This window comes from Homo sapiens, chromosome 10 (genome assembly GCF_000001405.40).
Source record: "Homo sapiens chromosome 10, GRCh38.p14 Primary Assembly".
In the NCBI taxonomy this organism is placed as follows: domain Eukaryota; kingdom Metazoa; phylum Chordata; class Mammalia; order Primates; family Hominidae; genus Homo; species Homo sapiens.
Genome location: NC_000010.11, coordinates 3,101,280 through 3,126,453, shown reverse-complemented (window position 1 = coordinate 3,126,453; position 25,174 = coordinate 3,101,280). Strand labels below are relative to the sequence as shown.

Below are 25,174 nucleotides of genomic sequence, written 5' to 3'. Positions count from 1 at the left end.
CTACAAGGTGCTAAAGGAGAGTGAAGCCAGCGATGGCCGGACCCTAATGGCATTCACCCAACAGGGGTCAAGTGCGGGGCCCAAGGAAGTCCTGGGAATGAGCCAGGGCCAGCCTCTGCAAGACCACCACAGCACTGGGGAACACAGGGAGAAGCCTAGGAGAGAGATGGCCAGGACACGCCCCTCAGCTCGAGTGGGAGGCTGAGGCTCGGACTCACAGGAAGCTGCAGCCGACCTCATGGCTCCTCTGCTCCCTTCCCTGCACTGTAACTCAGCTCTGAAGGAAGTACCCGGAATAGAACTGCTGTCTTCCGAGGTTCTGTGCTAAGCTGAACTAAGGAGTCTCCAGCAGGACTGGGAGTTTTCACTGCAAACTCCGGAGCTGGCTTGGACGTCAAGATGTAAGGTAAAGGCCAGTGGCTGCTGTCCCCGCACGCGATGCAGGCCTACCCCGGCCAGCAGTTCTGCTTTGCTGTGGGTCCCTCGCACCAGGTGGCCAAGTCACGGACGTGACCCCACATGTCACGGTGGCCACCGTCCTGTCTGCAGCTGAGTGAGGACCGTCTCTGCAGCAAAGGCCTGTGGAACTACCATAGGTCTTCATGTCCAGCTTATGACCATAGAGGTAGGTCAGAGTATCAGGGACCGGAGGGGCCACCATGTGGGTGTCAGCACCACACCCACGACTGGCAGAATCCACCCCTCCCAAGGCACATGTTGGTGAAACCGCCTGCCCAGGAGGGCGTGATTTCGGCTCTCTAAAGAGCCTCTTGTCTCACCAGGAAGGCTGTTTTCCAGGCAGCGGCCCCCAGTGGGTACGGCTCTGTCCTGGAGCTCGTACTTACCGGGCATTTACACCCCTTCCTGCAGGCTCCCACAGCTGGCCCTGCAGCCTCACTACTCAGCGTGGGCAGGAGAGGCAGCCTCCAGAGCAATGGTACCTGCGGCTCCCCTAGTCTAGGTGGGATAGAAACACGATCCCAAGGACTGGATATATCATCTCACTTTTAATCAATAAAGACAGGCTCTCCCTAAGGCAGAGAAGCTAAAAAAATTTTACCCTGTTCTGGCCAGTGTGACATAAAGCCAAGCTAACAAAGGGGAGAAAAGAAGAAGAATAAATCCGGCTCATCCTTAGCACAGAAGAAACAAGTTGCTAAAATAAATGACGGAAAAGCAATGAGAGGAAACGGGGTTCTCTTACCTCAACAACAGCATTCAGGCCAGTGTCGGAGCCCAGGCTTATTTCTGTGCCTGGGACATTGTTGCTAATCGTGGCCGGCACCACACACAGGGGGATGCAAAGCTCCTGGTGGCGGCCTCGTGCCTCGGCCATGTCGCACGCACTCTTGTAAGCCTGAAGCAGCAGGGCCAAGCGGTTAGCGGGGGTGCCGGGTGCTCACCTGCCAGCCCCAGGGCCTGTGCTGAGGTCCAGGAAGGGACGGGAGGGGACTGAGTCACCAGGGGAAGCCGGTTCATGCGGGTCAAGGGGCCGAGGGAGGCTCTGGAGGCCGTGCGAGAGCAGCACAGGCCCCAGCAACACAGGGGGCCGCCTGGGCACAGCCCAGGTCCTCATGAAAGGGGGTGCCTGCAGGCAGCACAGCGGGGTGGTGTGAGGCAGGCAACGGAGCAGGTTGCAGGCAACGGCGAGTTAGTCACGAGTGGGACAGCTCAGCTCTCGGCGTGTCATGGTAGGTAAGGGAGGCCAGGGCAGTCAGGACACTTAAAGGCAAAGCCAATCCTGTAGCTTTCTGCAGGCAGGCAAGGATCAGTGGGATGGGGCACACGGCTGTAAGGACCACACCAAATGCCCGCCTTCATCGTGCAGAGGCGGCGCCCAGGTGCAGGCAGGGAAGGGGGCATGCAGCTGGATTACCGGTGGGCCACACTCAGCCCCACGCCACATCTCTGCTCTCCGGGCGGAAGCTGCCGTTTCTGCCCTCGGCAAGCCGCACACAAAGCCGCACAGGCGAGCAAGAACCTGAGTTGCTGCTCTGGGGTTCCACTGGGAAATGCGCTCCGGTATCAGAAAGGGGAGCGGTTCTTGAGCCCGTGTACACCGGGGTTTTTCAGACTCCACCTCAGGGTGTTAACCAAAGTCACAGCAGGACAGGTCCACACGCCCACTGTTCCCACCTCCAAGTGGCCCCACACAGCAAGGTGTTTTTGACATCCACGTGGTGGCAAAACCAACTATTTATGGTCTTGGACGTGTCCGTCTTACTGTGAATATCCCCACATCTGCTGCAGAAATGCTACTGGTGGGACACAGGGCGGCGCCCACACCTCCCTGGGAGAGTCGGACAGTGAGCGATCTGGGCTCTGCAGCCCTGGTGCAACGCAAAGCATCCCAAGGCCTGGAGCCCGTGTGGGCCGAGGGCTTCGGACAGTGGGTGTAGACCCGTGGCAGGTGAGTTCACAGCACGGTGGATAGGAGGGTGGGGCGGGTGGGTCAGTGCTGGGTGACCACAAGGCGAGCTGTGAACGGGGTCAGTGCTGGGTGACCACAAGGTGAGCTGTGAGCAGGGTCCCCCGCACCCCATGGCACAGCCTCCACCTCCACCCAGGCCCAGCACGTGCCCAGCTCTTGGGCCGCTCTGTGCAGGCTCTGCCTGGCAGGCTCTGGCCATGGCAGTTTTTGCAGGACTTCAATCCAAATGCCAGCTGCTTCCCAGCCAGCAACACTCATGTCGGGGCACTGGCTGGCCTGGTGCCCAGGATGTGGCCCCTCAGCACCGCCACGTGGGAGTCTCCTTATGCTTTTCAGACAGGTGATGTCGCTCACTTTACTGTGGAATACCCGAGCTCAGGACTGACCAAGACTGGCTGTGGGGAGCCGGCTGTTTCTCCGAGAAGCGCTCGCTGGAAGCCAGACGGTGTGGGTGACCTGGGACCAGGAGGGGCCTGAGGCACACAGGAGGGCAGGTGGGGGTCTCGGCAGCTTAACTCCACATTGAAATCTGTGGGGACAGCCACAATGCTGCAAATCCTCTCTCCCCTCTTCCCTATCACTCCTCTTTTCCTTCCTTCAGTCTCCAAAAAAGGGAAGGGAAGCTTCAATACGGGGGAGACCCTGCCCAGCAAAACATAAAATTCTCAAGACCAAGCGCAGCCAGGCTGTGAATCAGTCACGAGGCTGTGGTCACTGCCACCTTCGCGGCAGCTGACGGCAGCGTGGCAGCAGCTTACTGTGCTTCTGATGTGACCTTATCGAGCTTACAGGACGGAGTAATGGGCCAGTGCTAAGGAATGAAAGGGTCGGACTGAAACTCCCTGCAGCCGTATCCTGAGAACGTGTCACACCGGCTCTGAGGTATCTCATTCCTTCTGCTCTGCCCGGAGGACCACTCACCAGCACCGCATAGATTCTGAGGGGCTAAGCATCAATGCTGGCAAGAAGGAAATCATGAGAGAGGACGAGGACGCACGTGTCCAGAGAAGATGAGGCTTCACCACATCAGCCCCGCCCAGGGCTTCCGAAGCACAACACGGCGACATCCTGAGCCAGACTCCTATTATGGAGCCCACCCTGTGCTCTGAGGGACGTTCCGCAGCGTCCCTTGTCTCCAGCCCCAGATGCTGGGAGCATCCCTTTTCCCACTTCTAACCAGAAACCTCCCTGGACGTTGCAAACATCCCCTGGGGCAAAATCACCACCCCTGCCCCCATGAGAATCACCAAATTTTCTGAACAATAGAAGCCAGTATACTGGAGCCATCTACAGACCTCAAACCTAAATGCTGCCCAGGGCCATGCCATGAGTCACCAGTCACAGAGGGTGTGGCCGGACAGGGAAGAGACGCTCACTCCCATGCGTCCTCAGCCTCCGGCGGCTTCAGGACAGTGGCCGGGGGGACCCGGAGCCATCCACGTCCAGTTGCCTCACACCCTGATTTCCTGAGGACGCCACCAGCTCATGTTCTTCTATGGCCAGACGAGCCCAGTTCAGACCCAAATCCAAACCTTCTCAGGATTCACACTGTTCGGCCGTCAGTAAACAGGGCTCTGGAGAAAACAGCTGCCATGTTCACATATCGGTCCCTCTCCCTTCAGGGTCCACAGAGGGACCCTCAGCGGCTTTCTCTTCTCTGTCCCAGCTCCCCAGCAGCCACAGCATTCGCCAGGGTGACCTCGGTCAGACGGCGCCACTCACCCATCACGAGACTAGAACCACCGCACTCCCAAGACAGCCTTGTTCCTTGGAGCTCAGGATCAGAAGGGCAACAAGGACACACACATGCACTTACCAAGGTGGCTGTGCCTGGCCAACGGGAGGCTCAACTAACTACACGCTCCAGTTCTTTCTCAGACATTGTAATCAGTTAACTTCAGGCCCGGCGCGGTGGCTCATCCCTGTAACCCCTGTGCTTTGAGAGCCCAAGACAGGGGGATTGCTTGAGCCCAGACGTTTTGAGACCAGCCTGGGCAACACAGGGAGACCCCGTCTCTATGGAAATACAAAAAATTAGCTGGGCACGGTGGCACCCACCTGTAGTCCCAGCTACTCAGGAGGCTGAGGTGGGAGGATCACCTAAGCCTGGGAGGTCGAGGCTGCAGTGAATAGCGATTGCAGCACTGCATTCCAGCCTGGGAAACAGAGTGAGGCCCTGTCTCCAAAAAAAGAAAAAAAAAAAAAAAAAAAAAAAAAAAGAAAAAAAAAGAAATTGTTTAACCTAGCTTCGAGAAACTCGAATGAATGAAAAACTGCATTTAAAACAATCGCATAATAAATCACACAATCCCTCCAAGGGAAGTAAAAGCAGGTGGAAATGATCATTTGTGGGGTGTTTTTGCCCCACGTATTTTGGTTTTCATAAATTTGACCCTATGCATTTGTTACATATTTACAATCTGAAAAAAAAAAAAAAAAAACAGTTATTTATAGCAGAGGACCCTGGAATTAAAAAGAAACTCAGCTAACTGCAGCGACCGCTCTCAAATTCTCCACCCGTTCCCTCTGGGCGAGTTCCAATTAGGTAACAATTAGGGAAAAAAGAAGCTTCAGTCCCTCCCATTGCACACCCAACTTTCACAGACCCAAAAATCTAGCTAAAGCAGGCGAAAGAGCAGTGAAAGCAATGACGGAATCCAGTCTGTGAAAGAGGCTCATCTTCACATTCACAGTGCGAAGGTAGGTCCAGAGCCGGGCCAGCCCCGCAGCAGCAAAGCCGTGACACCCACCACCAGGAGAACAGAAGCAACGTCTAGGTCAGAGATTAGCAACTGCCAAAAATAAGGTGAAAGTTGCCCCCAAAGCCAGTGAACACAGGAAAACCTGGGCAGGTTTCCTTCGCAAAGAAAGTGAAGAAAGTTTAAAACGCTCAGAAAAGCAAGAAACGAGTGCTAAGCATTACTTACCATATGAGCTGTATGTTAAAAGCTTGTTTTTTTATTTACCAGTGCTAGAAATAAGTTTCATGCCAAGGTTTTACAAGAAAAAATATCTTTGAAAAATATTCATGAGAACCAAGTCTCACAAGAAAAATTAAAACTTGAGAATTACTACAAACTTTTAGACATCAAATTTTAAAAAAATGAAATGCTTTCTGTGTTAGGTACGGATCTTCAAACTCCCACATCAATTACCAAGCGTGACACACAAACATGGGAATAGGTGTATATTTCTTTTAGCCGGGAATGGTGGCACATGCCTGTGGTCCCAGGTACTCGGGAGGCTGAGGTGAGAGGATCACCTGAGCCCGGGAGGTCGAGGCTGCAGTGAGCTGAGATCACACCACCGCACTCAAGCCTGGGTGACAGAGTAAGACCCCGTCCCACAAAGAAAAAAAGAAGAATATATTTCTATGTTTTATTATTGTCTCTTGGCAAAAAAACTAAAGTAGCACCAATTATTGCCTTAGAGGTAATTTAACATCCCCAGTTTACAAAGGGGAAAATGAGGTCAACAGCCAAGACCAGAGAGATAACAAATGCAATGGTGCATTCAGGGCAATGAATAAAATTATAAAATATTCAGTTCAATTTCTACCCTCAGCATCAAGGCAGGGGTTCATCATAATGGGTATTGGAGGCTCAAAGAAAATTTAGGCTCAGCACACACACACACACACACACACACACACAGCGATTTTTAATGCTGGTACAATCACAGGAGACTGCGACCCAGCCCTCCTCAGCGCCTCGGGTGCTCACGGGCACCCCTGGAGTCTCGGCCACACTACGTCCCCCTGGTGGCCACACAGAAGAAGAGGTGGTAAAACTCTCTGGGAGTGAGATCAAAAATTTTCAGAGTCTTAAAACATACTTTTCTGGGGGAAAAAAAGAACGAGAAGCTCTCATTCAGGGTATTTGTAAAAGGCTATTTCTAGCGCACTGGTAGATAAAAAGGGCCGGGGCCCCGGGGTTAGCGTCAGCCGGCGCCCGCCTGGCAGGGCGCACACGGACTTACGTCGGTGATAGTGTTCAGGGCGGTGTCTGCCCCGATGCTGAAATCGGAACCCGGCACATTGTTGGACACAGTAGCGGGAACCATGACCATGGGGACACAGAACTCCTCGTGCTTCTCCCGGGCGGCTGACAGCTCCAGGAGTCCCAGGTAGGCCTGTCAGACAAGCGTGGGAGTTGTGGGGCGAGAGGGAAGCTGGGGAGGAGAGGGTCTCGCTGGGAGAGGCTGGGAGCGCCACCTCCACCACAGCACGCAGGGAGCACACTGGGGCATCACGAAAACACTCCGAGATCAACACACAGTTGCCTTAAGACCACAGACAAGGATCGGCAGGTTGTAAGCACAAAGGGCGCAGGACAGACATGATCGGTTAGATGACTAAACCTCTCATGGGTAAGAGTCTCATTTCTGAGGTTCTTACTTTGTTTTTGTTTTTGTTTTTTGAGACGGAGTCTCGCTTTGTGGCCCAGGCTGGAGTGAGGTGGTGCAATCTCGTCTCACTGCAACCTCCGCCTCCCGGGTTCAAGCGATTCTCCTGCCTCAGCCTCCCGGGTAGCTGGGACTACAGGCACCTGCCACCACACCCGGCTAATTTTTATATTTTAGTAGAGACGGGGTTTCACCATGTTGGTCAGGCTGGTCTTGAACTCCTGACCTCAGGTGATCTGCCCGCCTCGGCCTCCCAAAGTGCTGAGATTACAGGCGTGAGCCACCGCGCCCGGCCAGTTTTTACTTTTTCTAAAAGTAAATGGAAAGGTTACCATGGGACTAATCTTCATGAATAGAAAAAATATTAGGGTCTACAGTCCAATATGTGATTTTAAACAAAATTCTAGGTATAACTACCTTAGTCTCTAAGTAGCCACTGGACTCTGGACTCAAGAGATAGAATTACTTCCACAGGCCTGAAATACATTAAGAGCTCACTGAATAGATGAGGCCCGGGTTAAGGAGTCAAGCTTTTGCTTCTCGGTTAAGTTGCTTTACTGGAACTGGGCCACTCGTAGGCCACGTCTTACCACCTGCTATCCTGCTGTTCTACAATTCTCCAGTGGCCGCTGGGTCTGGGAACCTATCATCTCGGATCGTGGCCAGTAGCCAACAAGTAGCTTAATGTTTAGCCAACACAGGGCGCGGCTCACACCTGCAAGACCGGCAAGAGAGAAACGGTAACGTACCTCGAATCCACCGATGATCAGCAGCGCGTTGATGCTGTGCGTGCGCATCTGTGTGGCGATCTCTTCCAAGTACTTCCCCGGGAGAACGCTGAAAATAGCCACGTGGAGAACGATGTCAGACACCCCAAACTCCACGCGGTCCGCAGGACGCCACGCCGGTCCCCACCCGGCCGCCTTCCCCAGTCTGTGGTTTTAATTAAGGAGCGGTAAACGTCTGCCTTTTCACTCATGCCGTTGTGGCTGGCAGATGGCAGAATGACCAGGAATCTCATCTCAAAACAGTGTTTTCATGAGAAAATGGAATAAAGCATTTCAGCTCATACCTTGACCTAAAAAGAACTCTACTGCCCCATTAGAAAAAATAAAATTAAGAAGTTATAATTAATAACAATTTTTTTTTTCCAAGATGGAGTCTCACTTTGTTACCAGGCTGGAGTGTAGTGGCGTAATCTCAGCTCACTGCAAGCTCCGCCTCCCGGGTTCAAGTGATTCTCGTGCCTCAGCCTCCCGAGTAGCTGGGACTACAGGCGCCCGCCACCACGCCCGGCTAATTTTTTGCATTTTTAGTAGAGACAGGGTTTCACCATGTTGGCCAGGATGGTCTCCATCTCTTGACCTCCTGATCCACCTGCCTCAGCCTCCCAGAGTGCTGGGGTTACAGGTGTGAGCCGCCGTGCCCAATAATTGTTTAAATGGAAATTTCCAGTTTCCAAATAACTTACATATGCATTATCCACTATTGATCTCATTTAAAATCCCATCTGCTCATACCTGCTCTCCCTCCCCCATGCTCTCACCAATGTCACATGACAGGGCTAACAAGTGCAACACCAGACTGTGCCCCTCCCTGGATCCCATCCCAAGCCCATCCAAAGGTTTCATGTTGATTGGAAGAAGTGAAGTACTTGTACTCTTGGTAGATTTATAAGACACCGTAGGGCAAAAACGTTCAGGCCAGGCAATCAGAGCAGACAAGTGAATGCAGCTAAGTGCAAACCTGTGCTGGCCCCTAAGGTGAGGTTTCTTAAGCCTCTTCAGGACGAGCCCACAACAGCCAGCGAGTCCTCTCTACGTTCGAGAGCAACGCCCTGGCCCTATCAAGCACCTGTGCCCGGGGTGTCAGCAGCCAGTCCTCAGCCCCAGAACGCACACCGAGGGATGCATCTGCCTCTACCTAGAGCTTTACCGTCCAGGGCACCCACACACAGAGCTCATGAGAACAGCCGGGAGGCAGCTGTAGAGCTAACCCAGCTCCGAGGCTCCCACCATCCCACCAGTGGCTGGGAGTACCAGGGTCCTGGCTGTAAAGCAAAGCAAAGGGTGCAGCTAACTCCCTTGGAACAATAAGCCGGAATTACATGGAATCCATCATTTATTATATTTGCCAAAAACTACCTTCCTTCCATGTGAAATTGTAATGTGTAGTGATGACAGAGATTAATATTCGCACCTCTGACATGATCAAAGGTGAGAATTACTCAGGCTTCATCTACATTAGGAAATCCCATTGTCCCCAGGGATGCAGGGACGCCAGGCTTACTGTAGGTCTGAAAAAGAGATTTTTAGACTAGAATTCCTTGGGTCCTTTCCTCGGCTGTGGAAATCTGAGCCTCGAGTCACAGCTGCTCAGGGCTATGCTTCCCACCAATGCTACCTGCTATCCAGGCTGCTTTAGGGTTTGCTTAGAGTGCCATCTCCACGGCTCCGTGACACCACTCATCTTTATGACCTCCAAGTGGAGGCTTTAGGCTCGCCAGCTGGCTTTTCAAATGAATGGAAATATGAATTAGAGGAAGGCATTCACAAGTTACCTCCTCTTCTCTCTTACGCCCTGGGACACATCCCCAGCTCCCTGGAACACGGGCAGTTCCACTGGAGGGAGGACCGGTAACTGCCTGCACCCCTCCCTTAGGGACGCCTTTCCAGGAATCCAACTGGCGTCGGCACCCAGCGATTCTCTCCCAGAACACGGCTCTTCCTTCTTCCTTAAAAGCAGGTCATAGAGTTGAGATTTGGAAGTTACCGTTTTGTCCCAAGAATGGAGCCTCCTTGGCCGGTCCAGCCCCCGACATCTGTCCAGCCGATTTCTTTGATCTAATGTGCAAACACAGAACGAAACAGCTAAAGTGAACAATGAAAGGCAAGTTGCAAAGTGCTAAAAATAGCTTTCTGTACTTTTCAACAAGCTGCATTCCGGTAAAGATTTGAGAGGCGTATGAGACAGCATTTATCACGATGCCCGGATGAATCAAGGTGAGAAGCAGAAGTCCAAGGTTAACAACTCATGAAGAGCAGCAGAGGGGCTGCGTTCTCCCTGCCTGTCGGGGCCTCTGTGTCTCATCCTGAGCCACGTGTGAGATACATCAGCTCACCGTATCCCGCCACCGGCAACTAAAAGAAAAGTAACATGATGGTTTCTAAGTTGGTAAAAGATTAAGGGAAAATTTCTTTTCTTACAAACTAGGGAGAAAAAAGGAAAACAGATTACTAAGCAAACTAAGGTAATCGCAGAAAGAGGATGCCACTGCGAGGACGGCAGGACTGCAGGAGGAGAACCCGTGGGGCTCGAACCCCAGCTCCGCAGCTTCCGGTCACGAGATTCTGGGTAAGTTCACGGATGTGGTGGACACACTGCCATGCTGCAGGGGGATCTCCAGGTAAATTACATTAGAAAAAAGATCATTCTACATCAAAAGGTAAATACTGTACAAGGTGTGTATGTATATATATATATATTTGACAGAACCATATAAATCAGGCTTTTTTTTCCCACATAAATCAGTTTTGAAGGCAATATTTTTTAAATAAAGCAAATACCAGTTTTAAGCCAATTAATCTTCACAAGTCTGAACAAGAAAGACGGGGAAAGCAAGATCCACCCAGGACAGAACGGTTCCTCATCCGGTTCCTGCTGCTGAGATGCGGGTGGATGGGCCAACACAGAAGGGCGGGCAGTGGTGGTGGAAGGTGGATCATCTGTGTTCCCAGGGATGCCACAGGGCATCTCCACCCCACCTCTCTGCCACTCCTCAGTCTCCTGGGCTGGGGTTTCCTCTTCCCACCCTACTCTTAACAATGGCGCCCTGAGGAATCAGTCCTGGACCTTCTCTCTCTCCTGCCTGCACTCAGGCCCTCAGGGAAGCTCTGTGAGTTCTGCATCTTTAACTACGTGGAGACGCTGAAGATTCCTAAACCCATGAGCTCAGCCAAACCCTCCTGAAGATGCTGGGACACAGCGGCTTACTGCACATTCTTGGCCACGGGACACACACCTTCACCCTGGCATCCCCAGTCCTGTCCTCAGCTGAGGGACACACACCTTCACCCTGGCATCCCCAATCCTATCCTCAGCTGTGGGACACACACCTTCACCCCAGCATCCCCAGTCCTGTCCTCCATGGCGGGACACACACCTTCACCCCGGCATCCCCAGTCCTGTCCTCCATGGCGGGACACACACCTTCACCCCGGCATCCCCAGTCCTGTTCTCAGCTGCGGGACACACACCTTCACTCCAGCATCCCCAGTCCTGTCCTCCGCCGTGGGACACACACTTTCACCCCAGCATCCCCAGTCCTGTCCTCCGCCGTGGGACACACACTTTCACCCCAGCATCCCCAGTCCTGTCCTCGGCCGTGGGACACACACTTTCACCCTGGCCTCATGAGTCTCCGCTCCTCATCCTACCTGCAAGAAGTGTGTCTCAGGGCTTCCTAGTCCTCATAAATTGCAACTCTACCCTTTCCATGTGCTCAGGCCAGGAATGGAGTGATCCTTGCCTCCTCTGTTTATGCCTGCGTGTACTTAGCAAGCAAACCCCATCTGCCCTCCGTGCCCTCCATACCTCCAGACCCTTGAAGGTTTCTCGCCATCTGCACAGTAGCCAGTCTGGACCCACCATCTCTTGCTAGGTGACTGCAAAGCCCCGGCTGGGAGCCCTGCCTCCTGCCTCAGTGAACAGCAGCGGGTCCCTTTAGAAAGCTCTTGGTGTGGGCCAGTCCCTGCTCAGGACCTTCGAATCTCACATAACATAAAAGCCAACCTCCTCAGGCTGCCCACAAAGAAGCCGGCCCTGCCCCTGCAGTTCCCATCCTCACTGCCCTGTGCGGGCTTGGAGCCCCCGCCCCTGTGAGCATCAGCTCCAGAGCATCCTTTCCCTCCACCTGGGATGAGTGTCCCCTGAGGGCCCCATGAGCCACCAGCAGCCTGGGAGCACCTTCCCCAGCATTGCTGTCTGGGGGATCTCCAGCAGGCCCTCCTCGGCATGCCTCTGAGCACTGCTCACCATCCAGAGAGCAGGAGGATCCTCAGCCACTGTCCTCTCTCCCCATCTATAAACGCAGTCTCCACGGAACCAGAGAGTTGTGTCTGCTTTGCTCACTCATTTAATTCCTCAGCATAAGAATTCCACAAAGTAGGAGGCTGGGCACGGTGGGTCATGCCTGTAATCCCAGCACTTTGGGAGGCCAAGGTGGGTGGGTCACCTGAGGTCAGGAGGTCAAGACCAGCCTGGCCAACATGATGAAACCCCATCTCTACTAAAAATACAAAAATGAGCTGGGCGTGGTGGCGCGTGCCTGTAATTTCAGCTACTCAGGAGGCTGAGGCAGGAGAATCGCTTGAACCCAGGAGGCAGAGGCTGCAGTGGGCCAAGATCACGCCATTGCACTCCAGTTTGGGCAACAGAGCGAGACTTCGTCTCAAAAAAAAAAAAGAATTTCACAAAGTAGGTATTTGTTGGCTAATCAGATAAACAAATAGCCACAAGTTCAGCCCCTGGTCAGGAGCTCAGAATCCTGTTTCCAGTCCTCCCTCGTGCACCCAGCCCTATGCCTCGGTTTTCTTGTGAGGAAAATGGGGATAACATCTTAGATTTAGTGTGAGGCTTAAATGGGTGAACACATGTCAATCCCACAGAACAACTGGATACAGCACACATCAAGGGGTGTTACCTGTGTTCACTAAGGTTTGTATTTCAGTGGGTGCTTGTGCACACCAGACACTGCCTGCTTTCCCTCCAGTGCCCGGTTTAAACAAACCACAGCCTCCGAGACAACGCCACCTTCCTTCTCACCTAATGTCAGGGCCATCAGACCCCAGAGGCACTGCCATCCCCCAGCACCTTTTCAGAAAATTCAAAAGCACATCATACCCTGGGCTCCATCTGAGGGCCTGAAACCTACCTTAGGGTGAGATTTTACTCCAGAAGCAATGCTTCAGTCACAATATCACAGGATCCCGGACTGAGGCATGAAAAGGTATGAGGGCCATGGAGGGCACCCCCCCGCCGCCACGTCCACTGTGCTCACAGCCAGGGTGTCTGCCTGCCTACGGCATCCTGGGTGACTCACCTGGCCCTTGGCGAAGCCGTCAAAGCCATCATAGATGGCGAGCATCCTGTGGCCGTCGGCAATGCCCACGCGCACAGCTGAGCGTACGGCTGCGTTCATCCCAGCCGCGGGTGCCCCCACGTTGATGACAGCTACGTTGCAATTGGTCTGCAAAACAGAAGGCAGGTGAGTGCTGGGTCACGGGCACACGTGAGCTCCATTTGCTGCACACTTTGGCAGTGGCTCATGCCGTGCCAGGCCTGAAAACAGGTGGCCTCATTCACTGAGGCAGAGGCCATGAGGGGAGGCCCGCAGGAGAGGTCGGGGCATCGCGGGAGGCCGGCCACCTACCTTTGGGATCTGATCATCCGGCAGCTTGATGGCAAGTCGCTTGTAGGTGTTCAGGTTGCCCGCAAAGCTCCTAAAGGAAAAGGGTGTCGTTGGACCGGAGTCGAGAATACCGGACACAACTCAGGGCTCATGTGGAGAAAAGGTGGCTTATCTGCCAGCACTCAATGTGTCTGCCCGACTATCTGGGCAGAAGGAGGAGGCCCCAGGGTTCCATGTGCATGGCAGAGCCCTTAGCCGCGACCCGCGGTGCTGTCCGTGTCTGGTGGAAATGGACTAAGAGAAAAGGGCACGCTTCTACACTTCATAACTTTCTCTTGCAAGACATGCGTGCGGTGGCTCAAGCCTGTAATCCCAGCACTTTGGGAGGCTGAGGCGGGTGAATCATTTGAGGTCAGGAATTTGAGACCAGCCTGGCCAACATGTTGAAACCCCGTCTGTACTAAAAATACAAAAATTAGCTGGATGTGGTGACATGCACTGGTACGAGCTGGTAGTCGCAGCTACTTGGGAGGCTGAGACATGAGAATTGCTTGAACATGGGAGGCAGAGATTGCAGGGAGCTGAGATGGCACCACTGCACTTTAGCCTAGGCAACAGAAGGAGACTCCTTTTTTTGTTTTGGTTTGTTGTTAAAGGGCCACAAGTCACCTTGTGCCTTAATCTCATTAGCTCCTAAACAACCATCACCTTACCAAAAAGGACCAATGGCAAATTTAGAAAATGATTTCTCTCTAACCAGTCACCAGGGCCTGCTACTGCAAGAGCGGTGCTGTGAGTACTGCCTGACTTTCTGATTTTTCACAGTGACATGGAATAAGCACAACCCCTAAGCACGTTTGCAGTGGCTGGGCCTGAGGGGTGTGTGTTCCTGACAGGGCAGAGCTTTCTCCAAAGCACCTCACCTCCCTCGGAGTCGAACCGCATCTTGAAATCTCCTCTCGTCCATCGCCTTCTGCACATCCTGAGTCTTTTAAAACAATGATGAAAAGAAGAAAGAATGTGTCAGGACCTGGTGCATCATGGATGGGGTAGGTAGAGACTGGCTCGGTCCTTCCCACCAGCCCCCTCCAGTCTGACCCGGGCAGCCAGCAGCCCCAGGGTTAATGGTCTAGACGACCGGCCGCCAAGTGTGTCCTAATGCTGGTTGGCAGCCAGCCCCACACGGCCCGGCTGTGAGGTCAGAGCCCTGGGACTGCTTAGCTCAGGAGGCTTCTGAGGAAAAAGAGAAGGTGTCACCTGCTGTTTGTGGACACAACACTGTGAAGATTTAACTCCAAGAGAACAAAGCCAGAGGAAATGAAATCTCTCAGGCATGGTTCTAAGGAATTCTCAATTTGATTATGGTGGGGAAAAACAAAACAGAACACACCAGCTCACTGGGGGATGTGGGATGGGAGCGAGGTCACAGCGGGCGGGGGAGCAGAGGGGCCCGGATGGAGGCCCTGGGACACGGGGCTGGGACTGATGCACGCCAGGCAGCCCTGGGCAACGTCAGGATCTTGGTCAAGTTCTTTCTCGCTCTGAACTTCAATTTCCTCATCTGTAAGATGAGAAAAATACTCCTACTTCCAGCTATCTCTAAGGTTATTCAAGCATGTCAGACCCTCAGGAAGACGCCTGACAAACAGCAGGTGCACAGTAGTGGTCCCTCAGCTTTAAAAACAAAGCCACACAAGGGTGGTTTCAAGGTCAGGGCAAGTGACACCTACCACGGTCGTCTCTAGACAAGCAGAGACATGAGACACAGGCTCAAAATACACGTACCGCATGTCGTTCAGTGCTCTGAGCCTTTTAAGCCTACTGCCTCTCACATGCACACAGGCACACACTAACGTGCAGACACACACTACCTCACACTCCAACATACACACATATGCACATAAGCATACCTGCACACACAAACATGCAGACACACGCTACCTCACACTCATGCCAACATGCACACATCTGCATAGAAACATACCTGCACACACACACAAACATGCAGGCACATACTACCTCTCACAAACATACACACACATCCATATAAACACATGCACACACAGACATGCACACACTATCTCAAACATGCTCACACATGCATATAAGCATACATGCACACACATGCAGATGCATTACCTCACACACATATATACACATGCATATAAACATACATGCACACACTAACATGCAGAAACATACTACCTCACACTCAAATGTACACATGCATATACACACATGCACACACACTAACATGCACACACACTACCTCACAAAAACATGCACACACGTACAAACATGCATGCACACAAACATGCACACACATACATGCAGACATACTACCACAAACATGCATACTCATGCATATAAACATACACATACATGCAGACCCAAACTACCTCACAAACATGCACACACATGCATAAATATATGCATAAACCTGCATGTATATGCATATACAGAGATACACATGCACACACATATACATACATACACACAGAGACACAAGCCTGCGCACACACTCACACACATACACACAAATACTATTTTCTCCCTTGGGCTTTTGGAAATTATGTTTACAAGGTGACTTTCAACAAGTCCCTGACTTGATTGCTTCACGACTTCTTTGTGTGTGTTAAGAGGCAACAAAACAGGAGTCACGAATCATGAATGAACTCTGAAAAATAAAACAACAGCTGGGCGTGGTGGCTCATGCCTGTAATCCCAGCACTTTGGGAGGCCGAGGTGGATGGATCACAAGGTCAGGAGATCCAGACCATCCTGGCTAACACGGTGAAACCCCACCTCTACTAAAAATACAAAAAAAAAAAAAAAAAAAAAAAATTAGCCAGGCGTGGTGGTGGGCACCTGTAGTCCCAGCTACTCGGAAGGCTGAGGCAGGAGAATGGCGTGAACCCAGGAGGCGGAGCTTGCAGTGAGCCAAGATCACGCCACTGCACTCTAGCCTGGGCAACAGTGAGACTCCGTCTCTAAATAAATAAATTAATTAATTAAATAACTTCAAATGCAGCTAACTCCACAGCCACCTCCACTACTGAACCAATGCCTGAAAAGCTGGAACTGCTTTTCCCTTTGTTCATTTGCAGGCAGACAGTTCCCTGGCCCAAGAAGGGTGGGTGTATCTTCGGGTGACCAGAGCTTTCCCTGTGTCCCATCACAGACCTGAATGTCCTTGGGGATAGGAGGACAGGAAATGGCTGAAACTGGAGAAGTTTGGGAAGGTCCCACCTTCCCCTACAAAATACCACCCTGTAGATCTCTCTCACGCCCGCCTCCCTGCCTCCCTGCCCCCTCTGCCCCATGGGTCTCTCTCACGCCCGCCTCCCTGCAGTCTGTCCACGGATCTCTCTCTCTCGGCTGCCTCCCTGCACTCTGTCCTTCTGCAGCACCTGGTGCACTGGGGCCACCTGGATCCTCGACTGTTGAGGATCCCGATGCTCTAGACCCCCACTCAGGGGAGGTTACGACTATGTGCCACACAGATGGATGGTAACTTAGAAAACCAAAGAGCGAAGACGGCGCAGGCTCTGCAGGTGTGGGAGAGAACATAAGCCTTCTCCCTCCCCACGGGCAGCTCACCTCCTTCTCAGAAAGGCCGTGTAATGCATCGTGCACCGACGAGACACCCAAGGTGCCCAGGCTGGCCTGACAAGCAGCTTCTGTCCCAGCCGTCTCCGCCCTGCCCTTGGCCATGGGCTGCCCACTCACCATCTGCACGCACTCCATCAGCGGCAGGCGCACGGCGTGGTTCCCGTTCAGTGACACGACGCAAGCTGGGGTGTCCGGGGTGGCCTCTAGCAAGGCGATGACTGCCTCCACTCCCATGCGGCTGGCCTGGAAACCAGGTCCATGTGGGTCAGGGGCAGCCTCCCGTCCTGCCCTGTCCCTGTCACCTCCTATCTTTCCATGACGTCCAATGACCTCAGTCAGGTGCTCACAGCCCCTCCCGCTTCCAGCCCAACTCTTTAGAGCAAAGCGATTTCCACTCCTTTAGAACTGGCAAGACGGGAACAGAGAGGAGGTCAGGGCACATGGAGAGCAGGAGTGTTAAGAACTGAGGGTTTGTACTTGGGATTCCTGCTGCCCTGAGTCAGTTTCCAGAAACTCACTAGAAACACAGCCTTTCTGCCCTGGGATTGTGCCCTCTGGGGTCCACGTCGTGCCAACACCAAGCACTGCCTTCCCACATTAGGGAGCTCTCCCCGCATCTGAATGGCTGCAGGCCTAGAGACTGGTCTACACCAAAGGTCTCAAGGATCGTTAAGATGAGGGCCGGGCCGCGGGCATCTCTCGGGGAGCACCTTGCCAGCCTCTGTGGCCGGCTGGTGCCTGTGCCTCTCCAGAAACGCTTCCTCCTAGAGACCTTGTGAAGATGCCCAACCCTTCCCAACTCACCAAGATCCTGTCGAATGCCGAAGGGGTCCCTCCTCTCTGCACGTGCCCGAGGATGGTCACACGTGTGTCATAGCCCAGCTGCGTGACGACAAGCTGCAAGGAAACATCTCGTTAGGATGCGGAACTGTGATGCGGACACAGCAGCCCAGATCTGGAAGGAGGTACTGGGCACTGGAAAAGGTTTTTCGCTCTTTCTTCAGATCTAAATGGGAAAAGTTATTTCTAAATTTTGTTTCCTAGCAGAACGTTTAGTGTATATAACAGGCAGCTGAAAATTGGTTTTAAAAATAATACTGTTGTTACCAGACAAGATCTTGGCTCGCACCTAGAAAATGAATACAAGTAATATGTTCGTTGCTTTAAAAAAGAAAAATAAAAAAGTAACGTTTCAGTAGCTTGCATTTAAACTATTACTTATATTTTACAAAAAATGTAAACATCTTCCTTGAACCAGCTTTAATTTGTTCAGCTGTGATTTGAACAGCACAAGCCAGCCCAATCAAGGCGTTCCCCTCGCCCCAGCCCATGGGCACACCGGCCCGGTGATCTGGAGAGGCCACTGACTGTCTCTGGAACTCAGCTTATTCCTCTGTAAGGACAGTGGGGCTGGGCTACGTAAATTCCTTGGTTCCTTCTCGGTCCATTGTCCTATAATTTAATTACAGTTAAGCGGGAAATAAAATCTTTGCCTGGACTTTATGGATGACCACTTATAAATATTGGCAGATGTCTTTCCCAGGTGTCCATCACTGTTTTCATATCCAGAGATATGCTTTGCTCCTTAACTGACCATAACAAAGCACAATAAAGAAGCCGACTTGCAAAGCCAGGTGGGGACGTCTTCTGCCCCGTGGCTGCTGGAGCCACAGCCCATCCCCAGCCCCGGCAGCCTGCAGCCCCGTCTACAGCAGGGGCACAGCCCATGGTATCAGAGTCCTCTCCAGACAGGCAGGCACTGGCCTGAGCAAGTCCCAGGGCACGAAGCCTGCCAAAGCCTGCCAAAGCCTGTTCCCAGGCAGGGCCACGAGGACACAGTGGCTTTGTAAGAATGTGCTCAGCTGATGCTCTGGGTTATGGGAGGGCACAGGGAATAGCAAGACGCCGCCTTTTCCCACTGTGGCAAACAGAAGCCCGGGTCGGCTGCCAAGTGGTCAGTCCTCATTCTCAGAGCAGCTCATGTTTAAGAGCCGGAACATTCTAATCCAAAGAACACGCGTGGCCACTCGAGCTGACCCCCTCTGTCTGCTGGGGAGTCCCGGAACCTCTACGGGCTCGGCAAGAGGTGACGTAAGCGGAATGGGCTCCCAGGAGCGGGAGCTGCGTGTTTCCCCTGCCGTCCAACTTCTGAGTCATTATGAAAATGTTTTAAATATCAAGGATAAAAAGTTAATAATTCAATGTTCTAAACCAAGCCTGCCCATGACGCTAGCCTCCCCTGCTTCCAGGCAGAAACCGAGAGAAAGTGAGCAGCTACACACACTCACCTCTTTGATTTTCTCAGAGGTGATGGGTTTATTTTGGGTATCAATTGCTCCTTCAGCCACAATAATAATATTCAGCCTTTTTTTCCGGGCACGGTTCTGTGGAGACAGAAAATTAAAGCTCTCAAATTCCTAATCCTGTTCTTAGCAACAAATGCAACAAAACCACAGAAGTCTGTCTCAAACTGAACTGGCCTCTTTCTGGGCAGGAATCTTTGCCTAACTTCCTAAGAGCTGCTTCCCAATGACATCAGAAGGTGGTGAAAGGTGTGCTGGGTGACAGCAGGGAGGGACAGGGGTGAGAGGAGGGGCAGGGGCGAGGAGAGGGGCAGGGGTGAAGGGGCAGGGGCAGGGTGAGGAGAGGGGCAGGGGTGAAGGGGCAGTGCAGGGGAGAGGAGAGGGGCAGGGGCGAAGGGGCAGGGGCGAGGAGGGGGCAGGGGTGAAGGGGCAGGGCAGGGGCGAGGAGAGGGGCAGGGGTGAAGGGGCAGGGGCGAGGAGAGGGGCAGGGGTGAAGGGGCAGGGGCGAGGAGAGGGGCAGGGGTGAAGGGGCAGGGGCGAGGAGAGGGGCAGGGGTGAAGGGGCAGGGGCAGGGGTGAGGAGAGGGGCAGGGGTGAGGACAGGGGTAGGGGTGAGGACAGGGGCAGGGGTGAGGAGAGGGGCAGGGGTGAGGAGAGGGGCAGGGGTGAAGGGGCAGTGGCAGGGGTGAGGAGAGGGGCAGGGGTGAAGGAGCAGGGCGGCTGTGGCTCACTGGAAGAGAGCTCTTTGGGACTGGGAGCTCACATCACCACCGCAGATAGAAATGTGGCCCCCAGTCAGCCCCAGGTGGAGGGTGCTGGTGTGATTGACAGGGGTTCCCATGGGGAAGGACACACAGGTGGACGCCCCACAGGCGCCCCGTGCACGCCATGCTTTCTGCCTCCCATGGGGAAGGACACACAGGTGGACGCCCCACAGGCGCCCCGTGCACGCCATGCTTTCTGCCTCCCATGGGGAAGGACACACAGGTGGACGCCCCACAGGCGCCCCGTGCACGCCATGCTTTCTGCCTCCCATGGGGAAGGACACACAGGTGGACGCCCCACAGGCGCCCCGTGCACGCCATGCTTTCTGCCTCCCTCCAGAGTTTCCTGCCATCTCCCTGTGAACCACTCCTCCCCGGCCCTCCCAGGGGAGGCCCCGAAGCCTGGCCACTGGGATGAGGTTGTATTGCACACAGGCTCCAGCAGCAGAGAGTCGGGAGAGAGAAAACGGCGTGAGCGGACACAGGGCCCAGACAGTGGGTTTCTGGCAGCTGCAGCTGCACCCGAAAGGCCTCACACTGCTGGGCCACCGTGGCTGCTGTCCCCGTCGTCCTTCCTATGCTCACGGCAGTCACGTGAGCCTAAAGAGGTCATGAAAGGAACATAGCGACCACTCCATGATGTGGATTAACTCATCCTCAATGGACTCGCTTTCTATTAAGCCCCAAATTAAAGACCCACCCATAGAAAATGATAGGGGTGGCTGTGTGGAGCCTGGAGCCAACAGTGCCTGAAGTCTGCCTGCCGGAGTTAGGCACGCATGGGGCATTCTAACCAGGCTCACTCTGTCTCAGCCTCAGGTCTTAAATGAAACCTCTTCTGCCTTGAGTCTCAGCCTTCATAGAGGAAAACATGCCCCACGCTCACAGTCCATAGAGTGAAATACAAAGTGTGACAAACTGGAGACAGAGAAATTTTTTCACTTGCTTAAAATGCCGTCCCACTTGGGATCCTGATTAAAGCAATGCAGCCAGCATCGCCCGCTATCAACGGCCACGGGACCCGCATTACCTCCGAGAGTTTGACACACATCTGCTCCTCCCAGCCTTCCTCTGGTGGAGATTCTGGAAGGAACACCCAGTCCGCACCGCAGGCCAAGGCACTCACCAGGGCCAGGTACCTATGTGGACAAGGCAACAGCATCAACACCCCAGAAGGATCCTTCCCACGAGGGCAGCCCAGGCACCCCGCTCAGCGACAGACGTGCAGACCTAACGCCAGGTATGAAGCGGGATGCCGGCCCCTTCAGGACTTTCCACGGGAGCATTCAGGATGTGGGGTGCAGCCTCAGGGAGATGATGCTGAGGGTCCCCCACCTGAACCGCGTCCACCGGACCCACCGCAGGTACGTACCCACAGTGTCGTCCCATCACCTCCAGAACGAAGGTCCTCTGGTGGCTGGAAGAGAAACAGAGGGAGCCCCGGACACAGCTCAGAAAGCAGAGAAACAGAGGGAGCACCCACTCAGTCCTGGAAACAGCTCAGAAAGCAGAGAAAAGGGGCTTTGACAGCCGAGTTAGCCAGGAGGCCTGCAGGGACCTAGGCTTCAAAAATGGTCCATTTTCTACTAAGGCAAACGCTATGCAGTAGCCTTCCAGACTCCTGCGAGGAAGGGGACTTGAGCCACCTCTGCGCTCTCCAGTTGCACGTTGGACACCTTCTGCCTGCCTGTGCCAGGACACACTCACACTCCCCGGCCCCGTGCTGGGCTCTTTCCCAGATACCTTCTCTATTGGGCACAGTCGGCAGCTGCTGTCGACAGCCACGGCTGGATCTCTCCCACGGAAACAAGTGAGTGCCAGACTCACTAAGTGCTTAATGCCCAGAGACTGTGGGTCTTCCCAGGGAATGGAAAAATCCAACTGCTCCGAGCAGCCTTCCAACTCGGTGATTTTCCACCAACTGTGGGGTTCACGCCCACGCACTGAGAATGTCCAGTGAGGCGTCACTGGGAACAGGACACGCACACAGAGGACTGGGAGGCGCCATGCTGGGGACTGGATTCGGGCACTCTCCCAGTCTCGAGCACCTCGTCCTTAAAGGGGAGACACTTATTCTATTTACCATTCCACATGGTTTTCATGCAAATTGCTTCAGAAATTGTACGGTGCGCCCCACAGTCTTTAGTGATAACCTGCTGAGCCTAGAGCACCTCGGATCAAACGCTGTGGCCCCCACGACACTTCGTGAATCCGTAGGTTACACAGGGCAGGACATCGCTGGCTGCGTTTCTAATGAGTAGTGTGGAAAATCCACACAACAGTTTCCTGCTTGCCACTCCTTCTGGAGATGTTTGGGTAGGACATTTAGAGGATAATTACTTTGTTTCTTCCTTCCAAATTCTAATAAACTGTTTTCTATCATCAGGTTAAAAACAAGGAATGTTTTAAAATTAAAAATGAAAAGTAGACCAGAGAACAATGTTCTGGCAATAGCTCCTAAAAGTCAAGTTACGAGACCAGCACCAGGACACCCAATCTGCAGAATGTTCTAGAGCCCGTGGTAACGTCTGAGCTGGGCACACGTCGGGCCCCACTGGCCTCCCGCCGGTTCCTCTGAGCGCTTTACCTCTGGGCCGTGGTCATGATGGCGTCGACGACCTCGATGATCCTGTGCAGGGCGGAGTCCGTGCCGATGGTCATGTCGGTGCCGCAGAAATCATTGTCGATGGAGCCCACCATGCCCACCACGTTGAGGTAGGCGTACTTCTGCACGGCCTCCTTATCGATCTGGCCTGCGCGGGGAGCAAACAGCACGTCTCATCGCCGTAACCATGGCGCGTTCGGGGGGTGCCCCACTAGGGGTGAGGCAGAATGGCCATGGGTAGAGAAATCAACCATTCTAAACTCTTTGTTATTGGTATCATTTCTTTATTATCATTTTTCTGAGACAGGGTCTCACTGTTGACCAGGCTGGAGTGCAGTGGCACCATCATAGCCCACTGCAGCCTTGAACTCCTGGGCTCAGGCGATCCTTCTGCCTCAGTCTCCTGAGAAGCTAGAACTATGCCTGGCTGATTTCTTAATTTTTTTTGTAGACCCACACTCTATGTTGCCCAGGCGGGTCTTAAATTCCTGGGCTCAAGTGGTCCTTCTGCCTTGGCCTTCCAAAGTGCTGGGATTATAGGTGTGAGCCACTGCCCTGGCCGATTCTTTATTTTCTCCGAACTCAAGGCAACCGGATTCTGCATAGTTAAGGAAAGAGAAGCCAGACAAAGCTGGCAGCAGTTACACACAATGGACTCTGTCACCTGGCACTTAGACAAGAGCAGTGGATTAGAAAAATAAAAGAAAGGATCCACATTTGCAATCGGTAAACAAACATCTCAGTACTTCCTGGCAACAGCTTCAGAGAATGACACGGCTTTGAACAGGATACGTTACAATTACGGAATTAAGAATCTAAGACACTAGGCCATCTTCACACTGATTTCTCATGCATCTGTGGGAAGCTGGATCGTGGGTGAGCATCTGCCTCGCACTCAGGACAGACCTGGGCTGGGCAGTTCTGCATAAAGGGAATCGGAACCACTGAAGGGCCAGGGGCAAGCTTGGGCCCGGACTTGTGGCCACTGTCCCGGTCTGTGCACTCACTGTGCTGTGCCAGACGGGATGAGGTGGACAAGCGGGAACCGTGAGGCCTGGCTGCTTCCAACGGGCAGCCTTCTCCATCCCCTACGAGGATGTTCACAAACCTGGGGACAGCTGCTTTGCCTCAATGCCGCCTCTCATCGAGTTGCTGTTAAACAATATGCTTCCCTGGTCATATTTAATATTGCACTGAAATTACATAACCGCTTCAAGGGAGAAAAACTACACTTTGGGAGGCCGAAGCGGGTGGATGACCTGAGGTCAGGAGTTCGAGACCAGCCTGGCCAACATGGCGAAACCCTATCTCTACTAAAAATAAAAAATAAATAAAAAAATTTTAAAAAAGCTGGGTGTGGTGGCGCATGCCTGTAATCCCAGCTGCTTGGGAGGCTGAGGCAGGAGAATTGCTTGAACCCAGGAGGCAGATGTTGCAGTGAGCCGAGATCGTGCCACTGCACTCCAGCCTGGGCAATGGAGAAAGACTCTGTCTCAAAACAAACAAAATCAAACAATCAAACAAAACAAAAATAAACCACATACACACAGGGCTCTCAGAAACGCTTTCCTAAGTAGTGCCAAAGTTGGTACTGGATGATGTATTGGCAGAGATTTATCGTCTAAATAAATTAAAGTCCTGTGGCAACTTCAGTTTTTTTTTTTTTTTTTTTTTTTGAGACAGAGTCTCGCTCTGTCGCCCAGGCTGGAGTGCAGTGGCGGGACCTCGGCTCACTGCAAGCTCCGCCTCCCGGGTTCACGCCATTCTCCTGCCTCAGCCTCCCAAGTAGCTGGGACTACAGGCGCCCGCCACTACGCCCGGCTAATTTTTTGTATTTTTAGTAGAGACGGGGTTTCACCGTTTTAGCCGGGATGGTCTCGATCTCCTGACCTCGTGATCCGCCCGCCTCGGCCTCCCAAAGTGCTGGGATTACAGGCGTGAGCCACCGCGCCCGGCCCAACTTCAGTTTTAAAGGACCCCAGCGAGCTGGAGGGACACAGTGTGAGGGCTGAAAGGCGGATGCTAGTGTCCCAGGCTGCTGGGGACCCGGCTCGCCCCACGGCTGAGTGGCCGTTTGATTCCTCATCTGTAAATGGGATGATCTAAAACCTGGCTTAGATGGCTGTCGTGAGGATTCCATAAAGCTATCTGTGTGAAAGGTCGAAGGGTGCCTGGCACATGGTAAGGTTAAATTACTAGCATTCTTACGATCATTGCTGTTGTTTTTTGAGATCCTAAAAAGTCCTGAGATGGTGACCTGTAAGATCTGTGAGAAGAGGTACTTCTGCCACAGTGAAGAGGGAAACCTGTCGGTTCCAAAGCTCTGAAACAGGGCGAAAACCCGCAGGACAGAGGAGCAGGTGTCCACTCACCGTTCCTGGCCAGCTCCTCCAGCAGCCCACTCCACTCCTTCCGGAAGAGGTTGGCCCCGGTGAGGCTCCCGTCCCCGCCGATCACACACAGGTTGGTGATGCCGCGCTGCAGCAGGTTGCAAGCAGCCTTCAGGCGGCCTTCCCGCGTGCGGAAGGCCTGGCACCGCGCACTGCCAATGATCGTCCCGCCCTGGGAAAGACACCAGCTAATTTATCTCCTCTCAGTCTGAGAGAGCGCCAGGTGGATGGCACACACAGGCCGACTATAAACATGG

At 53.3% G+C, this 25,174-nt stretch overlaps 1 protein-coding gene across 15 annotated transcripts in view, besides 3 other annotated features; it reads right to left on the bottom strand.

Annotated features, from left to right (window-relative positions):
- Positions 1-25,174, bottom strand: part of PFKP (phosphofructokinase, platelet) — a 69,258-nt gene that overhangs the window by 10,352 nt on the left and 33,732 nt on the right. For 6 of the 15 annotated variants that reach the window (NM_001323071.2, NM_002627.5, NM_001323067.2 and 3 more), the window contains 13 exons: positions 24,900-25,089; positions 22,510-22,675; positions 21,295-21,339; positions 20,953-21,061; positions 19,145-19,240; positions 17,661-17,753; positions 16,974-17,099; positions 14,168-14,232; positions 13,266-13,335; positions 12,936-13,082; positions 9,608-9,678; positions 7,585-7,672; positions 6,410-6,562 (listed from right to left, as the gene is read on the bottom strand). In NM_001323071.2, coding sequence (NP_001310000.1) covers positions 6,410-6,562; positions 7,585-7,672; positions 9,608-9,678; positions 12,936-13,082; positions 13,266-13,335; positions 14,168-14,232; positions 16,974-17,099; positions 17,661-17,753; positions 19,145-19,240; positions 20,953-21,061; positions 21,295-21,339; positions 22,510-22,675; positions 24,900-25,089 — 1,419 coding nt within the window. Of the gene's footprint in view, positions 1-1,204; positions 1,358-6,409; positions 6,563-7,584; positions 7,673-9,607; positions 9,679-12,935; positions 13,083-13,265; positions 13,336-14,167; positions 14,233-16,973; positions 17,100-17,660; positions 17,754-19,144; positions 19,241-20,952; positions 21,062-21,294; positions 21,846-22,509; positions 22,676-24,899; positions 25,090-25,174 lie in introns of those variants that run through there. The other 9 variants (NM_001410880.1, XM_047425350.1, XM_006717449.2 and 6 more) reach the window with 7 other exon arrangements.
- Positions 21,372-22,571: an enhancer, noted in NCBI's record as "CDK7 strongly-dependent group 2 enhancer chr10:3146075-3147274 (GRCh37/hg19 assembly coordinates)". NCBI's record gives its function as "activates an origin of replication core promoter dependent on BRD2, BRD4, P300/CBP, MED14 and CDK7 cofactors, with strong dependence on CDK7, by STARR-seq in HCT116 cells {active_cell/tissue: HCT116}" and the evidence as "EXISTENCE:reporter gene assay evidence [ECO:0000049][PMID:35650434]".
- Positions 21,372-23,090: a biological region, named in NCBI's record as "CDK7 strongly-dependent group 2 enhancer GRCh37_chr10:3146075-3147274".
- Positions 22,155-23,090: an enhancer, noted in NCBI's record as "H3K27ac-H3K4me1 hESC enhancer chr10:3145556-3146491 (GRCh37/hg19 assembly coordinates)". NCBI's record gives its function as "activates a minimal SCP1, AML or CMV promoter by ChIP-STARR-seq in naive and primed H9 embryonic stem cells {active_cell/tissue: H9 hESC(naive and primed)}" and the evidence as "EXISTENCE:reporter gene assay evidence [ECO:0000049][PMID:30033119]".